This window comes from Homo sapiens, chromosome 6, assembly GCF_000001405.40.
Source record: "Homo sapiens chromosome 6, GRCh38.p14 Primary Assembly".
Lineage (NCBI taxonomy): Eukaryota > Metazoa > Chordata > Mammalia > Primates > Hominidae > Homo > Homo sapiens.
Genome location: NC_000006.12, coordinates 147,140,976 through 147,157,163, shown reverse-complemented (window position 1 = coordinate 147,157,163; position 16,188 = coordinate 147,140,976). Strand labels below are relative to the sequence as shown.

The 16,188-nt window shown below is 38.4% G+C and overlaps 1 long non-coding RNA gene across 1 annotated transcript in view; it reads left to right on the top strand.

The window, feature by feature from the left end:
• Nucleotides 1-16,188, top strand: part of STXBP5-AS1 (STXBP5 antisense RNA 1) — a 363,227-nt gene that overhangs the window by 47,451 nt on the left and 299,588 nt on the right. The gene's annotated exons all lie outside the window — the stretch shown is intronic.

The following is a 16,188-nucleotide window of genomic DNA, read 5'->3' as shown; positions in this document are numbered from 1 at the left end:
CTCCAGAATATTTATGCACTCTTCCTTACTGGTGCCCTTCTGGGAACAGGACGTTCTTGCACTGGTATATGCTCATGTGGAGATCTGAGGATGATGCTAGTGGAACCCAAGAGAGAGAGTTACACTTGTGACTCATCACAGTTTGATATCACATGAGTGTTCCCAGTTTTTGCCCTCTTCCTGACCTACTCTCTGTCTCTGTCTCTCTCCTTGCGTTTATCTAGAGAGTGTTCTTTTACCTTTTGTGATGGGAGAGGAGAAGAGTGAGAAGGACTCAGAGGGTTCAGTAGTTTTGGAAAGCCTTAGGAATAGTTCTTGGGTTTGGTGAACGTGGATGGATGGAGAAAAGGAGATTGCAGATGAGTTTGAAAGGATGCTTGGTCATCCCATCTTACTCCTCCTTAGTCCCAGTAGAGAGCCTATACACCTGGGCTGAGCTGCAGCTGAGGATGGGGCAGGTGGGCAGGTGGCTGGGTGTCAGGGGTTCTAGGCTCTGCAGTTGGCTGGACAGGAAATGCCAAGTAATCTCCTCTTTGCACTGGACCACAGCTTGGAAGCTAGCACTGGAGAGTGCTGGGGTAAGGAATTAAATGCAGAGGATATTAAGAAGATTCTAATGCAGTCTGTATATTCTCAGGCAGAAGATCAGTATCAGCCCAAGTTGAGTTAGCCTGCTCTTTCTGGCACTGCAGGAGCTGAAAAGGGCCTTAATGGTTTGCCTGATGCCTCTCTACTCCTGACACCATGAGGGCAGACAGAGAACAGGAAGCAGAGAGGCTTTTGTCTGCTCTCTGAGAGCAAAAGATGAAGACATCAGCTGGGGTTAGGAGTGGCAAAGCCATGGTGAAAGAGAAAGGCCTTTATCATTCCCCTCCTCTTCCCTTTCCTGTGCCATTTATTCCCTTCTACCTTCCCAATGCATTCCTAGACCTGACCTGTGCTGAGAGAAGCAGAGAAGAGAGCTGGGAGCAGTCTCTGAGTGTGGGTGCCTCAAATGCATTATTACATTAAGTCCAACTCCAACCTTGGTGGTAGGTTTGTTTGTTCCAGACTTATATGTATGGAAATAGATTCAGGGACGCAAGGAAACCTGCAATCACCACAAAGTAGAGATACCGGATCTCCAGTACATTGATTTTGCTGTGCTTGTGGATTGAGGTTGCTGGGGGAGAATGAGAAGAGATTCCGGTCCAAGCCAGTGGAGAAGGAAGGAGAGAGACGGGAAATTCCAAATATTGTACTGGGAGAGAGAGGAAAGTTTATTCTTATCATTAGCCATAGACAAATTGTTTTTTGCATGTTTTGTATGTATGTATTTGGGAGTTTACCTGTGTTTATTATCTCCCTCCATTAGCCTATCAGCATCTTGAGGAACTGTATTCCTTTTACCCTCTAGCATTACACCCTCTGTAGTGATAGAAGAATGAATATTGAACTTGAGAACTGTCCATAAATTTATTATCCCAGTGCTATCAGTACATATGGAATGAGCCACAAAGAAAGTAGCAGGCATTAGGATTCCCAAATTGCTGCACCAGGCAGTTTGTAGTTGCTGATTTTTGGAATACAATGAGCAGGAAATACTTCTTAATGGAGGGGTTAGGAGGACAGCAGTGACAGTACTTGTTACCTCATTTAAAAATTAGCCCTACTTGAAATTTATTAATTTGGGTTATACTGAGACATAATGAACTGTCTCAGAGATGAATTAAGTAGAGATGATGTCCTAAGGTGGCGAGGCATTTATCTTTTAACATAAAATTGTAATGAATTCAAAACTAATATTAGAAAAATGTTACTCCTGCTCCATTAAGTGTCCATTCAGTAGAGGAGAAAGGAATGAAATTACACCTGGCTCACAGTGACTTGAGTCTAACCCTTGAGTCCAACTATTTAAGAGTAAGTGTTAAGGTCAGTACCATTGATGGAGAAAATACTGAGAACTACAGTTTCTTGTCTTGTATTTGGTCCTTACAACATTGTGCATTGTATTTTTCATCATATTTTACATGCACCTGATAGCTTTCCTGTTACACAGTAAGCAACCTGGGGTAATTCTTGCGCTGTTTTTCTGTACCCCACAGTCTTTTTATATGGCACGTGCCCTATGTAACTACAATACAACCATCAAAATAAGGATGTTAACGATGACACATTATTGCCCTCTAATCTTCAACCCTCATTTAAATTTTGCTAATTTCTCAATAATGTCCTTTATATTAAAAATGCATGACACTTAAGGACATGCCTGATGTGACACCTGTTTACCTGATTTAACAGCTTCTTTCTCAATTTCTATTCTATGTGAAAACTAAACACTCCACACAAAATAAATTGCAGCTTCTAGCCAGGTGTTAGTCTTAATACAGAGGCCATATACAAGATGTTTAACCAGGCACACCCTTAAAATTCAACCCTGTTTGTGTTTGCAATGAACACACAGGGTTGAGTCATCATGCATTAAAAAAATTTAGTAATACAGTTCAAACAATCTTCAGGATGTTCTCTTCCCAGGAAGCTTCAATTTTGAGGCTACGTGTCTACTCATGACAGTATCACTGTGCTGACTGGAGAAAATTCATCAGGCTGAAGAATAGATGGCTCCAGCTGGCTGTCAGACAACTGCACACTGATTGTCCAGGGCAGCCACTGCCTGGAGAGAAAATAAGAGTGAGTGAGGGCAGGCAGCCCTGGGGTCTGTTTTTCACCTTGCCCCTTCCCTCTGCTACATGGTATAAGGGGGATTGTGTCCTTGTCCCTACAAAACACTGAATTGTGTTAAGATGCCTGCTTGTGTATAAAATGAGAGGTTGAACACTGGCTGCCCCAGAGTGACGAAATTGACAGAACCATTATGGAGTGCCACTATGGGCTAAGAAGGGCCAGGAACGGTAGCAGGGTGAAATCTGGATGGAATATGGGGCAGGGTGACAGTTTATGTAACACTCTCTGTTTTAGAACACTGGAGATGACAGAATAGAGTACAACTTACCTTTCCATTGTAGTTCTGAAATGCTAATAGCATCTAGTCAGACTGATTCAAGTCCAATTTTTAAATTATTCAGCCAGATATCTTTTTAAACTATCTTGCTAAAAAAGAAAAACTTTTGAAGGAAATGTATGTTTTTTCTTCATTGGGTAATATGTAAACTGCCCTCATTTCTTTTTCTTTTTTTTTAAGCACCTCGGTTATGTCAGGACCATGTTCCATGCTAGGCACCCAAGGGTGAAAACAGTCCTTGTGCTCAGGAGTTCAAAGAACTTGTCATGTGTCATGGAGAGAAGGAAGTAATTCATGCAGCAGTAGAGGAATGTACATGTGTCCAGGGTGGCCTTGAGGTGGGATTTATAATTTACCAACAGTGGCAATTTTAGTTTTACATTTCAGAATAATTTTTCTTTTTTCTGCTTGCTTGTTTAGCTTATTGATCTTAAGGAGGACTTTTACCTTTATTTCTACTCTTAGAACCTAGTGTTTTCTAAATTTGGTTGGTGGCATACCTATAAATACTTGGAAGGGACCCTTCTCTTTGTAATGTGTGTGTGTTCTTACCTGTATAGTGAGAAAGCAGGATCACAGCACAGGCATTAGCCAGAGCATGGTGAGGGGGATGCCTGGCTGGTCTGGGAATCGGATCAACAACAGGCTTTGTACCTCTCTGGCAAGCTGCAATTAAGCCTTTGCCCACAGGCCTCTGAATGCGTGGACATGAAGTTATTGGAGCTGGGGTGATATGAGGTGTGAAAACAGGAAAGGGAAGGTGAGAACGGGTGGAGGGGGTAGTAGTTTTATAGAGGAAAATCAGGTGCTTTTACACTGTTTTTGGGAGAAGGAGGAAATGGAAAGTGAACTCCAGAGTTAGATACCCTTGGTTCAAATCCCACTTTCTCCTTGGGCTGACCTTCTTGGACAAATTACTTGATCCCTCTGAACCTCAATTTACTTATATGTAAAATGTGGTAGTTAGAATGTCAAATAAAATATTCATGTAAGCTCCTTAGTGGTTGTTTGCTAAATGAGGAGAAGGATGGGACGGATGATGATGAAAAAGATGATAATAACAAAAATGTGGGATTCTCATGGTGGATGAGGTGGATGTGGTCTCTGCTCTCCCAAGATGTATAGACAAGCAGAAAGGTAATTACAGTGCAATAAGATCAATGCTATTGTAGGGGAAATAAAGAATGTTCTTGGAGCTCATAGGAGGGGTCTCAGGTCAACACTTGGGAGATCAGGGAAAACTTCCCTGAGGAAGAGATATCCAAACAAAAATTTCAATTCCAGATAAGTAAGTGTAATCCAAACAAAGGAGAAGAGGGCAGGTTAGGGAAGAACAAAAGAGCATATGAGAAGACACAGAGGAGTGGAGAACAAAGTGATCTCAGGTGTCAACAAACTAGAGGACAGCTAGAAGGCTGGAGTAGGCAAGTGCAAGATGGGGAGTGACAAGGAATGAGCCTGAAGCATGTGTAGCAAAGTACAGACTTGGTACCATATTCTTGCAGGCTTGGGGAGCCCTTGTGAAGTTTTAAGCAAATAATAAATGACCAAATTTAGATTTTTGAAAGCTTCCTTTGATGGCAATGTGGAGAACATCCAGAGGAAATGAACCTGAGAGTAGAAATCAATTTGGATTGTTGCAGTAATCCAAGGGAGGGATGATAGTGGCTTGAACTAGAAACTGATATTCACTATAGAAAAGGCAGACAAATAAGGAATATATTTAGAAGGTAGAATGAATGACACTTCACAATAGACTTGTATGGGGCAAAGAAGAGAGAGCTTAGGGTGAAACAAGGTTAAGATGAAATTCTGGTTTTGACAATGGGGTCCACTAAAATGCTTTTGGCTGCAAGTAGTAAGGACATTGTAGGTCAATTATTTACACCAGTGGTTCTCAAAGTGTGTCCCATAGTTAAGCAGCACAGCATCACCTGGGAGTAAGTTTTTTTAGAGTAAGCTGTAATCTAGAGCTACTGAATGAAAACCTCTAGGGGTAGAACTGAGAAAGTTCTAAGAGGCCTTTTAAAGTGAGTGAGTCTGATGCATGCTAAGTTTGAGAGCCACTGATTTGGGACATCATTCGAAAGAAGAGTGGCCTGAGGAACAGGACTTGAGTTCTGCTTCTCCACCATTGTTTGGATTCCAGTTTACGTCATATCATGTGTTTTTTTATTAGGCAAACTCCTGCTGAAAACACAAGAAGCCTGCAGCAGTTTCAGTTATCAATCCAAGCCCAACAACATTGAAGGAGAACCAAGGAGCAAATTCTTCCTGTATCTTTTATTTAGAGCAAGACCTTTCACCAGAGCCCTCCATCAGACTTCTGCACGTGTCTCATTCACCAGAATTGTATCACATGCACATGAAAACCCACTTACTGGCAAGGGAAATGACTCTGACATTATTGGTTTAAAGTACTTTCAACCAAGCAGGACACATCAGGGCAAAAGTTTGTAGATCTTATACAGGAGGGTAGAAATCTATACCAAACTGGGTTTTCTTCTGGGTGTGGTGGGAGAGGGAAAAAAGGTCAAGGATGGGTTTTGGATAGGTATCCAACTACATTTGCTACTGCTGTGGCACCAGTTACTGGGATATAGAAGCAGAAGTTATGGGAATAATGACTTCAATTTTAGATGTATTGCATTTTGGACTCTATCAGACATACAAGTGAAGATGTTCAGAAAGCAGTTGATTATAGAGATGTGAAGCTCTGGAGGAAATTCTTTGCTGAAAACTATTTGAGAATCATAAATTTAGAGATAGGATTTGCAGCCAAGGGAGCAAATGAATTTACCTATGGAAAGTGTATATACAGTAAAAAGTGGAGAGTCACCAGGACATCTAGTGAGGAAAATCAGCATTTGAGGGGAGGAATATGAGGTGAGTTTGATGAGGGGGCTCAAAACATGGTCCAGAGAAGCAGGGAAAAAAACTGAGTGAACAGTATTAAGGAAACCAAAGAAAGAGTATTTTATAAGGCAAGAGCGGCCAACTATTTCAAATGCTACAAAAATTTCCAGTAAGATAAGGACTGAAAAGTTTGAATTGATTCAGTGGAATAGGTGGATAGAATTCATATTTCGGTGACTAGATAATGACAAATGGAGACACCAAGACAGACAGTCCTTTACTGACATACAACCCAATGGACAATGAGTTTTTACGGATGAGAAATGAGATAGGAAGAAGTCTCAAAATTATATTTAGACAGTTCAAAACCAGTGTAAAGTTAAAAAACTTTCAGTTAGGAAGGTTTTATGGTTGCAACATCATTTAGATGAATAGGGAGAAGAGTTGAGGCATTTGTTCCCTGGGAGAGAGCTAGAATGAAATGGAATGAGGCCAAGCATACTCCATGAATAAACGGAAATGAGTGAAGAGAAGAGGAGAGGGTGATACTGAAATTTAAGAACTCTAGGAGCATATTATTAAAACATGCAATACTAATAGAAGACAATAAGATGTTTATTTGTGTAGAAATTATTGTAATTGCAATTGGAAGTTGGTGAGATTAATGATTAATCCACTGTCTTAATAGACAACTTTTGAAAACCATGTGGTATGGTTTAGAGGACAATAGTAGTCCTCTCAGTATAATCTAGGGATGACTAGATTTTACTATGACAACTTTGTAGGAAGGGCTTGGCTCTGCATATACTTCTAAATTGCCCTCTATAATGATGCACAATCATTAACTAGATGTCCTTGTTGTCTGTGCCTCCGTTACCAAATGAAAGTAGCCTTTAAGTACTGAATGATCCAACTGAAGGAACACTTAGTCCATGTCATTTTATGACATACTGTATCATTTAATGTAGAATTATGTTTTTTTCCCAGAATAGTTCTATTTAAGTAATCTAACTCATCAATTGCTGTGAAGACAAATATGAAAAATAAGAGTTTTTTAAACCTCATTTCAGCCACAGAAGACTGAAATTAAAAACAAAACTACTTGATAGATGAAAAAATGCAAAGATCACAATACAATAATTAGCAAATGAACTTGCTTTTCACCCTAGCATTTTCTGAGTTTGTTTTTCTCTCGGTGTAGTATACTCTCAAATTTAGATGCTTCTGTGTTTTTCCATTATGAATTCATTCTCTGTAGAGTAGAGAATTATTTTTTTGTAGTGTCAGCAAGTAAAAGTACAGTCACAAAATGTTTCTTCTATCATCAATCATCCTGGATGAGAATTTAAGTCCAAAGTGAATACTCTTTGTATTTAAGTACAAAGTACATTTTTGTACTTAAAATTTACAAAGTACGCTCTTTGTATTTCAGTACAAAGTGAATACTCTTATGCAGCCTGTTTTTAATAAAGACCCTTGGCTTGCATTTCGATATATCAATTTTACAAGTAAAATTTAATATTAATTTATTAGCTGTATCTTACAATTTGTTGTCCTAATTTTAAAAATTTTGATTTTTTTTATTTAGATCTTGGAGCTACCATTTAATAGTGTTTCTCTCGAGTAGTCACCCAAGTACATGTATGCTCATATTCAATTGTTCTTCATATTTGCAGAAGATTTTCCTGTAACATTACCTGCAGTCATGTTTCATAGTTGAAATGCTGAAACGCCCAATTTCCTTTAGTAGTTTTTTCCTCAGTTAGCACGCAAAATTGAGTTTTCATAAAATTAGTGTCAATATTGGTGAACTGACTGTACTTTATGAGTTCAATTTTGGTAAGATTAATTTGCTACTAGTAGCGATGTGTATTAAAAATAGCATCCAAAAATATATCCCTCCATAAACAACAACAACAAAACCTGGCAAATAGAATAAACTTTTTCAGATCTTTGGAAATTAGCCAAAGGCTTTTAGCAAACCAGGAAGCATTTATTTAAGAAAAGCTGATGAATGTTGGTAAGAACAGCAAGGTTTGTGGTGTTTAAACTTACCTTAGTCTCATTTACCACTTATTAACTTAGAAACAGCTTAAAAAAAAAAAAAACCCGTATTCTCAGTACCAAAAGGAGCAGACTAGAGCTGGAGCTCTTTCAAAACTTCATTTCCAAAGAATTAACGTTATTTGATCTTTCGATCTGTCTGCTCATTCCCTAGAAGACCCAACTGGAAAGGCATGTCCTTAATTGACCCGATTCGAGCTTGCTTAGTGCTAAAATCTTCTCCCCAGAGAGACCATTTGATGAAAACATTTATAGGCAAGTGTTTTGACATCATGATGCCAGAGGTGATGGCTGATACTTGGGGCAAACAATAGACTACTCAAAAGGGTTGAAAGACAAAATCGAGGCATGGGGTATCCATAGGGGCTTTGAAAATCTCTGATGTATTCTTGGGAATCTAAAAAGTCATACACATGTTTAAGGCTGAGTGCATACCCAGGAAGGATCTGAGAAGGCCCTCAGCAATTAACTCTGGCTCACCTTGAAGCTCTGCACAAGCAGGAAGTGGAAGTTAAGGCAGACTTGTAAACTAAATGTAGGAGACATGCCCCAAAATGCATACAAAGCTCCTCTCTATAAAGACTGGGGGATTTACTGGTTCCAGGTACTTAAGAAATTACTGTTTACTCATTAGCTGATCACTAAGCTAACTGAGTAGAGATTGCAGTGGCTACATGTGACAAAGAATAAAGACTACTGAATTAGTCCAGAAATATCACTAAACAAACAACAGTAATAACTGGTGAATTCTACCAAATATTTAAAGAATTGGTAACACATATCCTTCATAAACATCTCCACTCCTCGAGAAAAGAGGAGAAAACACTTCTGAACTCATTATGAGACTGTTCTTACTCGGACACCAAAACCAGACAGAAAAGCAAACTATAGACCAATATCTTTTATAATGTTGATGCTAATATCCTTAACAATATACTAGAAAACTGAATCTAAGACATATAAAAAGAAATATACACCTCAACCAAGTGAGATTTTTATTCCAGAAATAAAAATGCAAGGGAGTTTCAACATATGAAAATCAATGTAATACACTATATTAAGATAGAAAAAAAAAAACATGATTATCTCAATAGACAAAAACCAAACCAAAGCAAAATAAACATTTGACAGCATCCATTTCAGGATAAAATACTCAACAATCTAGGAATTGAAGGGAACTTTCTCAATTAAGGGCATCTACCAAAAACCTACATCTAATATCATAGTCAAGGTAAAAGACTAAACGAATTCCCTCTAAGACCAAGAACAAGACAAGAATGCACTGTAATGGTTAACTTTATGTATCAACTTGACTGGATGTCAGGCTGCCCAGATATTTGGTTAAACATTATTCTAGATGTGTCTGGGAGGGTGGTTCCAGATGAGATTAACATTTGAATAGGTAGACTGAGTAAAGCAGATTGACATCCCTGTTGTGGATGGGCCTCACCCAATCAGTTGGAACCCTGAATAGAACAAAAGATGGGGTATGGGAGAATTTAATGTCTCTACCTGTTTTTGGCTGGGACTTTGGTCTTCTCCTGCATCTGGACAGGAACGTATACCATTTGCTCTTTTGGTTCTCACACCCTTGTACTAGGATTGGAGCAATACCACTGGCTGTCCTGGGTCTCCAGCTTGAAAGACAGCAGATCATGGGACTTCTCAGCCTCTATAATCACATGAAGCTCTTCCTTTAATAAATCAGTATCTCTTTCTCTCTCCCTCTGCCTGTCTCAGAGATGAATAGAAGGTATAGATTCTTTTTCTCTGGAGAACCCTGACTAACACAAGGCCCTTTCCCTCCTCTGCTTGCATCACATTTTCTCTTATCCCACTGGCCAAAGCAAGGTACACAGTAGGACCGGAGTCATCACAGGTAGGGACTCTTGAGTGCAGAGAGGAATATTAAGGCATTCATTTTGCAAAAATTTACCAAACTGGGCAAACTTCTCCTTATGTATTCTACGTGGTAAATCCCATAGTTTCTGAGCAACCGTCCATGGATGGTAGTAGTCTCTCACGTTGGGTGTTTCCCTGAAAACTAGGAGCAAAACTTGAGTCGATCTTCTATATTCCTTAAATCATTTTAAAGCATGGGTGCTCCAAACATGTTAGATACCAGACTTATAAACCTTTTTCTCTGGGGAATTAGAAATGGATGAAGATGTGTTTAATTATGAAATGTGTCTGACAATGATCTGAGTTACTAAGATGACAAACCTGGATGTTTCTAGCATCTAGGTTGCTTATAGGTTTCAGATTTAGGTTCTGAGCTACATTAGGTACCACAACTAAACTACGCAAGCTGTACCATAACAACAATAACAATATTAGCAGTAGCAGCAGCAGCAACAGCAGCTATCACCAATTGAATTATTGCTGTGTTTCAGGTACTATTCTAGGTGTTTTAATTGATCAGTTCAGTCTACACACAACTTTATTAGATTGGTCTTATTTTCATCTTTGAGCAGAGGAAATGGAGGCAAAGAGAAGTTATGCCAGAAGTGTGAAGTGGAAAGGACTTAATAGCGTTTTTCTTCAAGACATGGTGAAATAACATTTTTTGCTTAGTACTTTAGTCTGTCCTAAAATGATCCCAGTTTTAATAAAAGTTCTATTAAGACTTTAATAAAAAAAGTAGATAATTGCATACTATTATTGTAGAGAAAATAATTGAAATACATCAATTAGATTGCAGTTAAAAGCATAAAATGGAGAAAGTTCATTTCTGTTTCACATAACTTCTGAAACACTGCTTCTGAAAAGATCAAAGTCAAGATTCACCTATAAATAGAGCTCATGCTTCTTCCAAATATAAAACATAGCATTGTGTTATGAAGTTCACATGAATTCAGGAGAATTAAAATGATTAAAACATTTTAAATATTTACATATTATTTACTTGGTATAACACTGCATACCTGAATTTCTTTTTCCCTGGTAAGAGAACTCAAAGGCCAGAGTAAGTGAAGAGAGATATAACTACTTTATAATATCAAATATACAACTATGTTTGTTAAATTCCACAAGTGATAAAAAAGTTTTGCTTCAGTTTGCTTTAAGGTAGGTCAAGAAAGAGGGAAAGTGACAGAGACTCAGGTGGTATAGGTGCCAGGGCAGCACTTTTTCTAAGAAGTCAGAGAAAACATTGCAGAGAGGAAGCACTAGGCCTGAGAGGAAGAGGTAGAAAGTGAGGAAAATGGAAAATATGAAACAAAAAAGGAACAAGAAGAGAGACCCATAAACAGACAGGTGGAAAGGGAAGAAGATTAGATGGAAAGACAGAGGAGAAAAAAGAGAAATGATATTTGGATAGATGTATGGCAGTAAGGCCCAGATCCAGAAATGAACATGGCAACTTTGCCCTGTGGGAAAGCTGATCTCAAATTACTTTTCGTGAATGGTCAAATATGTATACGATTTTATGAGTGGTCAAATACAACCTAACGAAAGAAACTGAGGCGAATTAATAGAGAGGATTTATTTGGGCCAAGGTTGGGGACCGCAGCCTGGGAAACACCAGCAAGTGCGCTATTCGGCCTTTGTCACAAAAAGGTTTTTAAAGGCGAAAGGAGACAAGAAGTGTACGATATAAAGGTGTTAGAAATTCTCATTGCTTTACAGAAGTAACATTGATTAGTGATTGTCTACATTGTTGAACCATAAGGTATGCATTATGGTGTCCAGTGTAGGGCATTTTATGGCTAATTGGCATCAGTCTAGAGCTCACATAGCAAATGAAGAGGAAATTATTTTGCTTAAGGGTGGAGAGATGTTAACTGCTATCACATTTTAATGCCTCTCTGGACCTGACAGTTGAAATGGGCTCATATTCCTCAGATAAAAAGTTTCTTTCTCAATTTTAATGTCTCAAGTCAAATATCATCTCCTCAGAGACCTTTCCATACCACCCAATTAAACCTACCCTGCCAGTCACACTTACTTATCTTCTTCATGGCACTCATTATTTCCTGAAGTGATCTCATTTACCCATCCACATGTTTATCCCATATCTCTTCTCCATAACATAAGGGCTTATATTGAGGTCAGGGCCATTCCTTGTTTTCCAGTACATTTCCAATGCCTAGAAAATCAAATGTTTGTTGAGCACCTATGCTATGCTGAGAAAAGTTCCTGCCATATAGTAGGTGCTCAATAAACATTTGATGACTGTTGAGTAGGAGAAATATATATATATATATATATATATATATATATTTACTTTTTTTCATGAGCTCAAGACCATATACCTTAAAAACAATTATATGTACAATATCTGGAAAAATGATTCTACCTTTTACTATTCTAGAGAAGTTTCACTAGTCTAAAATTTTATAAAAACACAAAGGATTGGGAAGATGATTAATTCCCTAAAGAGCCAGGATATTTATAATAAGTAAAAATACAGTAACTAGGATTTATTTAGGGGAATATGGAGTGAGTAGGAAAAGTTGCAAGGTGTCATTTTAGGGAAAGAATTAATAGAGCATTATTCACTATGAATTCTTTTCTTTTTTTAGAGATAGGGTCTTGGCTCTGTTACCTAGGCTGGAGTGCAGTGGCACAATCATAGCTCACTGTAACCTCAAATTACAGGGCTCCAATGTTCCTTCCACCTCAGCCTCCCAAGTAGCTGGGCACCGCTACACCTGGCTAATATTTTATGTTTTGTAGAAATGAGCTCTCACCATGTTGCCCAGGCTGGCTTTGAAATCCTGGCCTCCTTCCTCAGCCTCCCAAAGTCACTACTAAATCTTAAAAGGGGTTCCTTATTCCTACTGTTTCCCCAAGCCAGACACCCCTTGCCTATCGTCCATCATGCTACCTTCCAGCCAATGAATAAACTCACAGCAATCCTGGACTTGACAGTCTACAGATTTCTTCTCATAACAAAACAGGGACTCTCAGGCTGTATAAAAACAACAGCTGTTTTTCTCTAAACTTATTACGTGTTAGATAATTTTTAAAAAACAGAAACTTCAGTTTGCTTAGCATTCCTCCACAGTGGAATGAGTATTTTTCTGTATACATCTGCATGAGATTGGGGCTTAAAGAAAATCTCCTACTCCTCAATATCACCTTTACTTTTCCCCTTTTTGGAGAGGCTTGCTCCTTTCTATCATCACTTTTTCATTCCTAACACCACTTTGCTGAACAATAACATGACATAAAAAACAATGTGTCAGGAAGATAAAAATTTTAAATGTTTAAAGGGTTTAAACAGAAAGACACGGGTAATTTTGTGAATCCTCAAGAGTCAAGTAGCTTACTTGTATTAGTAACTGTGTTAGAATCAAATCTGTGACATGGAGAGGAAATAAGTAGAGGATTGCTTCACCTACCAAAAATACAGCCATCTGAAGAGCAAAACCTAGAGGCTATATAGAGTTTTTTGGTTGTAGTATTTAAAAATGAAAATAAAGGAGTTCAATTAGAACTATGAAGGGATACTTTGGTGAACTGAATTCAGTTACATAGAGAACCAAACAAATTACCACAAGTAATAGTGTTTATTTTTATTTTTTATTTTGAGATAGAGTCTTACTCCGTCACTCAGGCTGGAGTGCAGTGGCGTGATCTCAGCTCACTGCAACCTCCGCCTCCCGGGTTCAATTGATTCTCCTGCCTCAGCCTCCTGAGTAGCTGGGATTACAGGTGCCCATCACCATGCCTGGCTAAGTTTTGTATTTTTAGTAGAGATGGGGTTTCACCATATTGGCCAGGCTGGTCTTGAACTCCTGACCTAAGTGATCTGCCTGCCTCAGCCTTCCAAAATGCTGGGATTACAGGCATGAGCTTCCATGCCTGGCCAATAGCGTTATTTTAATCTAAAGTTGCAAAAAAATTTTTGGAAAATGTTGCTGAGCCTCTATTTTGAATCTTGCACTCAGTAGGCCCGTCAAGAACCATCATGGAGTTGAATATGGACCAAGTATTGGGAAGGTAGAGGAAAGAAGGATTCCAGAGTAGTCCAGTCCTTGAATTTTCTACAAACTTCCCTAGTAAAAGTCTTTTAAAGGATCTGTATTCAGACAGCAGAATTTGATCACTTTGTATGTAAGGGTTCCTGTTAGGATAGGTCTGGTACGGTTGTGAAAATTAAGGCATTAAATGGATTGCTTGGTTTATTCCAGGGCAGACACATTCCTGAGGTTAGAATGTAAAACAATCTGGCCTATCCCTTGGGCACTCAGAATGAAGGTAACCAAGGTCAAGTCAGATTTAGAGGGCTTCTAAGGGATAGAACAAAATGCCTAAGGCCAGACCCAATCTAGAGTCTCTGGATTGGCTATAGAATCAAGCCAGCTGCCAGAACTGGAGGTGAGGCAATGTATAAACAAGTATTACGAAACTATAAACTATGTTGTCTTCTATACCATGTTGTCACCTCATTCCGTGGTGACCTAGCATCTCAAATATATATAATATTGTTTTTACATTTATTATTTATTACATTTATGGACTCAAAAAGACCCAGCAGCTTAACAGTATATAACCTCAGTTTATCAAGTCCATATGTCATTTGGTAAAACCTGCAATAGCAATTGACACAAATGCTATGGTTCAAAGAGTTTGAGTGCCACAAAAATATTTATCCTCCTTCTGCAAGTAACTTTTAGAACCTATAAGGAGGCAACTCAACCCAATCCAAAACAAACCAACCATAGATCTCAAACTTTCAGGTACATAAAGGTTTTGTAAGATGTGTGAACTATCAAATAGATTAAATAACTATAAGGGACATAAATTGGGTCCACTTGCTTCTTCCATTGCTCTCAGAATACACATTCTAGGAATTTTGGCAGGGTGGAATTTTGGTTGGAAGGAATTTTCAAATCAGAGTTTCAGTCTGGACACAAGGCTAGTGCTTTTTACCAGTCACCAAAGGAAGTCTTTTCCTACCAGTGAACCGAGCAGGAGCACCGAGCCAATCACTAAGTTACGACACTATATACTTTACTAAGAAGGGAAAAGGGGATACTCACACTGAATACAATAATAGCAGATAACCTCCAAATGTAGGTTAAAGCTGGCTCAGGATGGTATGTATGCAGAGGCATTTGGTATTGGGGGAAGGCCCACTGGGCTTTGGGATAGATGAGTTGGCTTTGAACCTTAGTTCTGCAACTTAATGGCTTTGAGCTCTTGAGAAGTGGTAACATTGCTGTCTCTCTCCTTTCATCTGTATTTCCATCTGCCCCATTTAAGTCAAGGATTATGTCACTATGTGTTTTAGGGCACTGTGAAGAAGCATAAAATTTCTAAGTTATATTATATGCATATCAGATTCTAGATATGCAAGGCCTGAGAAGACTGAGAGGGAGATTTATGGTGTGTGACTCAGAGCATGCAGAGGAAAGATGGATGAGACACTCATGTGCAAACAGCTCCCTCAAGTACAATGTTACAGAGGGAGATCAGCCACCTGGCTCTATTGTTTCTTCTCATCTCCTTGCTTCATCTTCACCTTCTTGCCCCTAAAGCATAGCCTTCACAAAAGCCTTCAACTCAGCAAGGTGCATTTATCTTACAGGGTTTAGTGAAGGGTAACTTTGTGGAAGCATATAAAAAACTATTATATAACTCTTAAAACCTGCATTTATTTACGTATGTCTTTCAGTTTTCCCTGTTCTAGCTTAGATTTATACCTTCACACTTTTAAAAGAAAATAGTAACATATAAAATCTATGTATGATGAACTTTACTAGCAGATTTACTTGAAAAAAAATAAAATATGTAAATTTTAACTTCAGAAGGGAAAGAACTAACGACAGGAGGCATTAGGTAATGTAATATCTTATTTTCATTGAAAAATCATATATGGATTTCTGTTATTAGGAAGTCAGTGTAATTTGTGACTGACCTCTTACTTTTGGTAGCTTTTCATGGGTTAAAAGGGAAAGTAGTGGAGTATTTAGGGTGTTAGGAACTGCTCTTTGAGTATAAAAGCACTGACATCCACAAGATTTCTTTGTAGACAAAATGAAGTGGGCAGTGAAGATCAAGTTCTAGGAGGGTCTAACTTTATTCATGTTGAATATCATTATGGACTCAGAGATTTATTTTTTACCTTGGATTATAAGCCAATACTACTTTATTTTGTTGTTCAAATTTTCCAGCTTTGACCATTGGTAGGTCTTTTAGTTGGCTACTCTGTTCCTTCCATAACCCAGAGTTGTTGTTCCTTTCTTTCCTTTTTTTGAGCACTTCCTTACTTTCTAGCACTATAAGATGCTGTAGGCCCATATTAAATATTTTCTGCA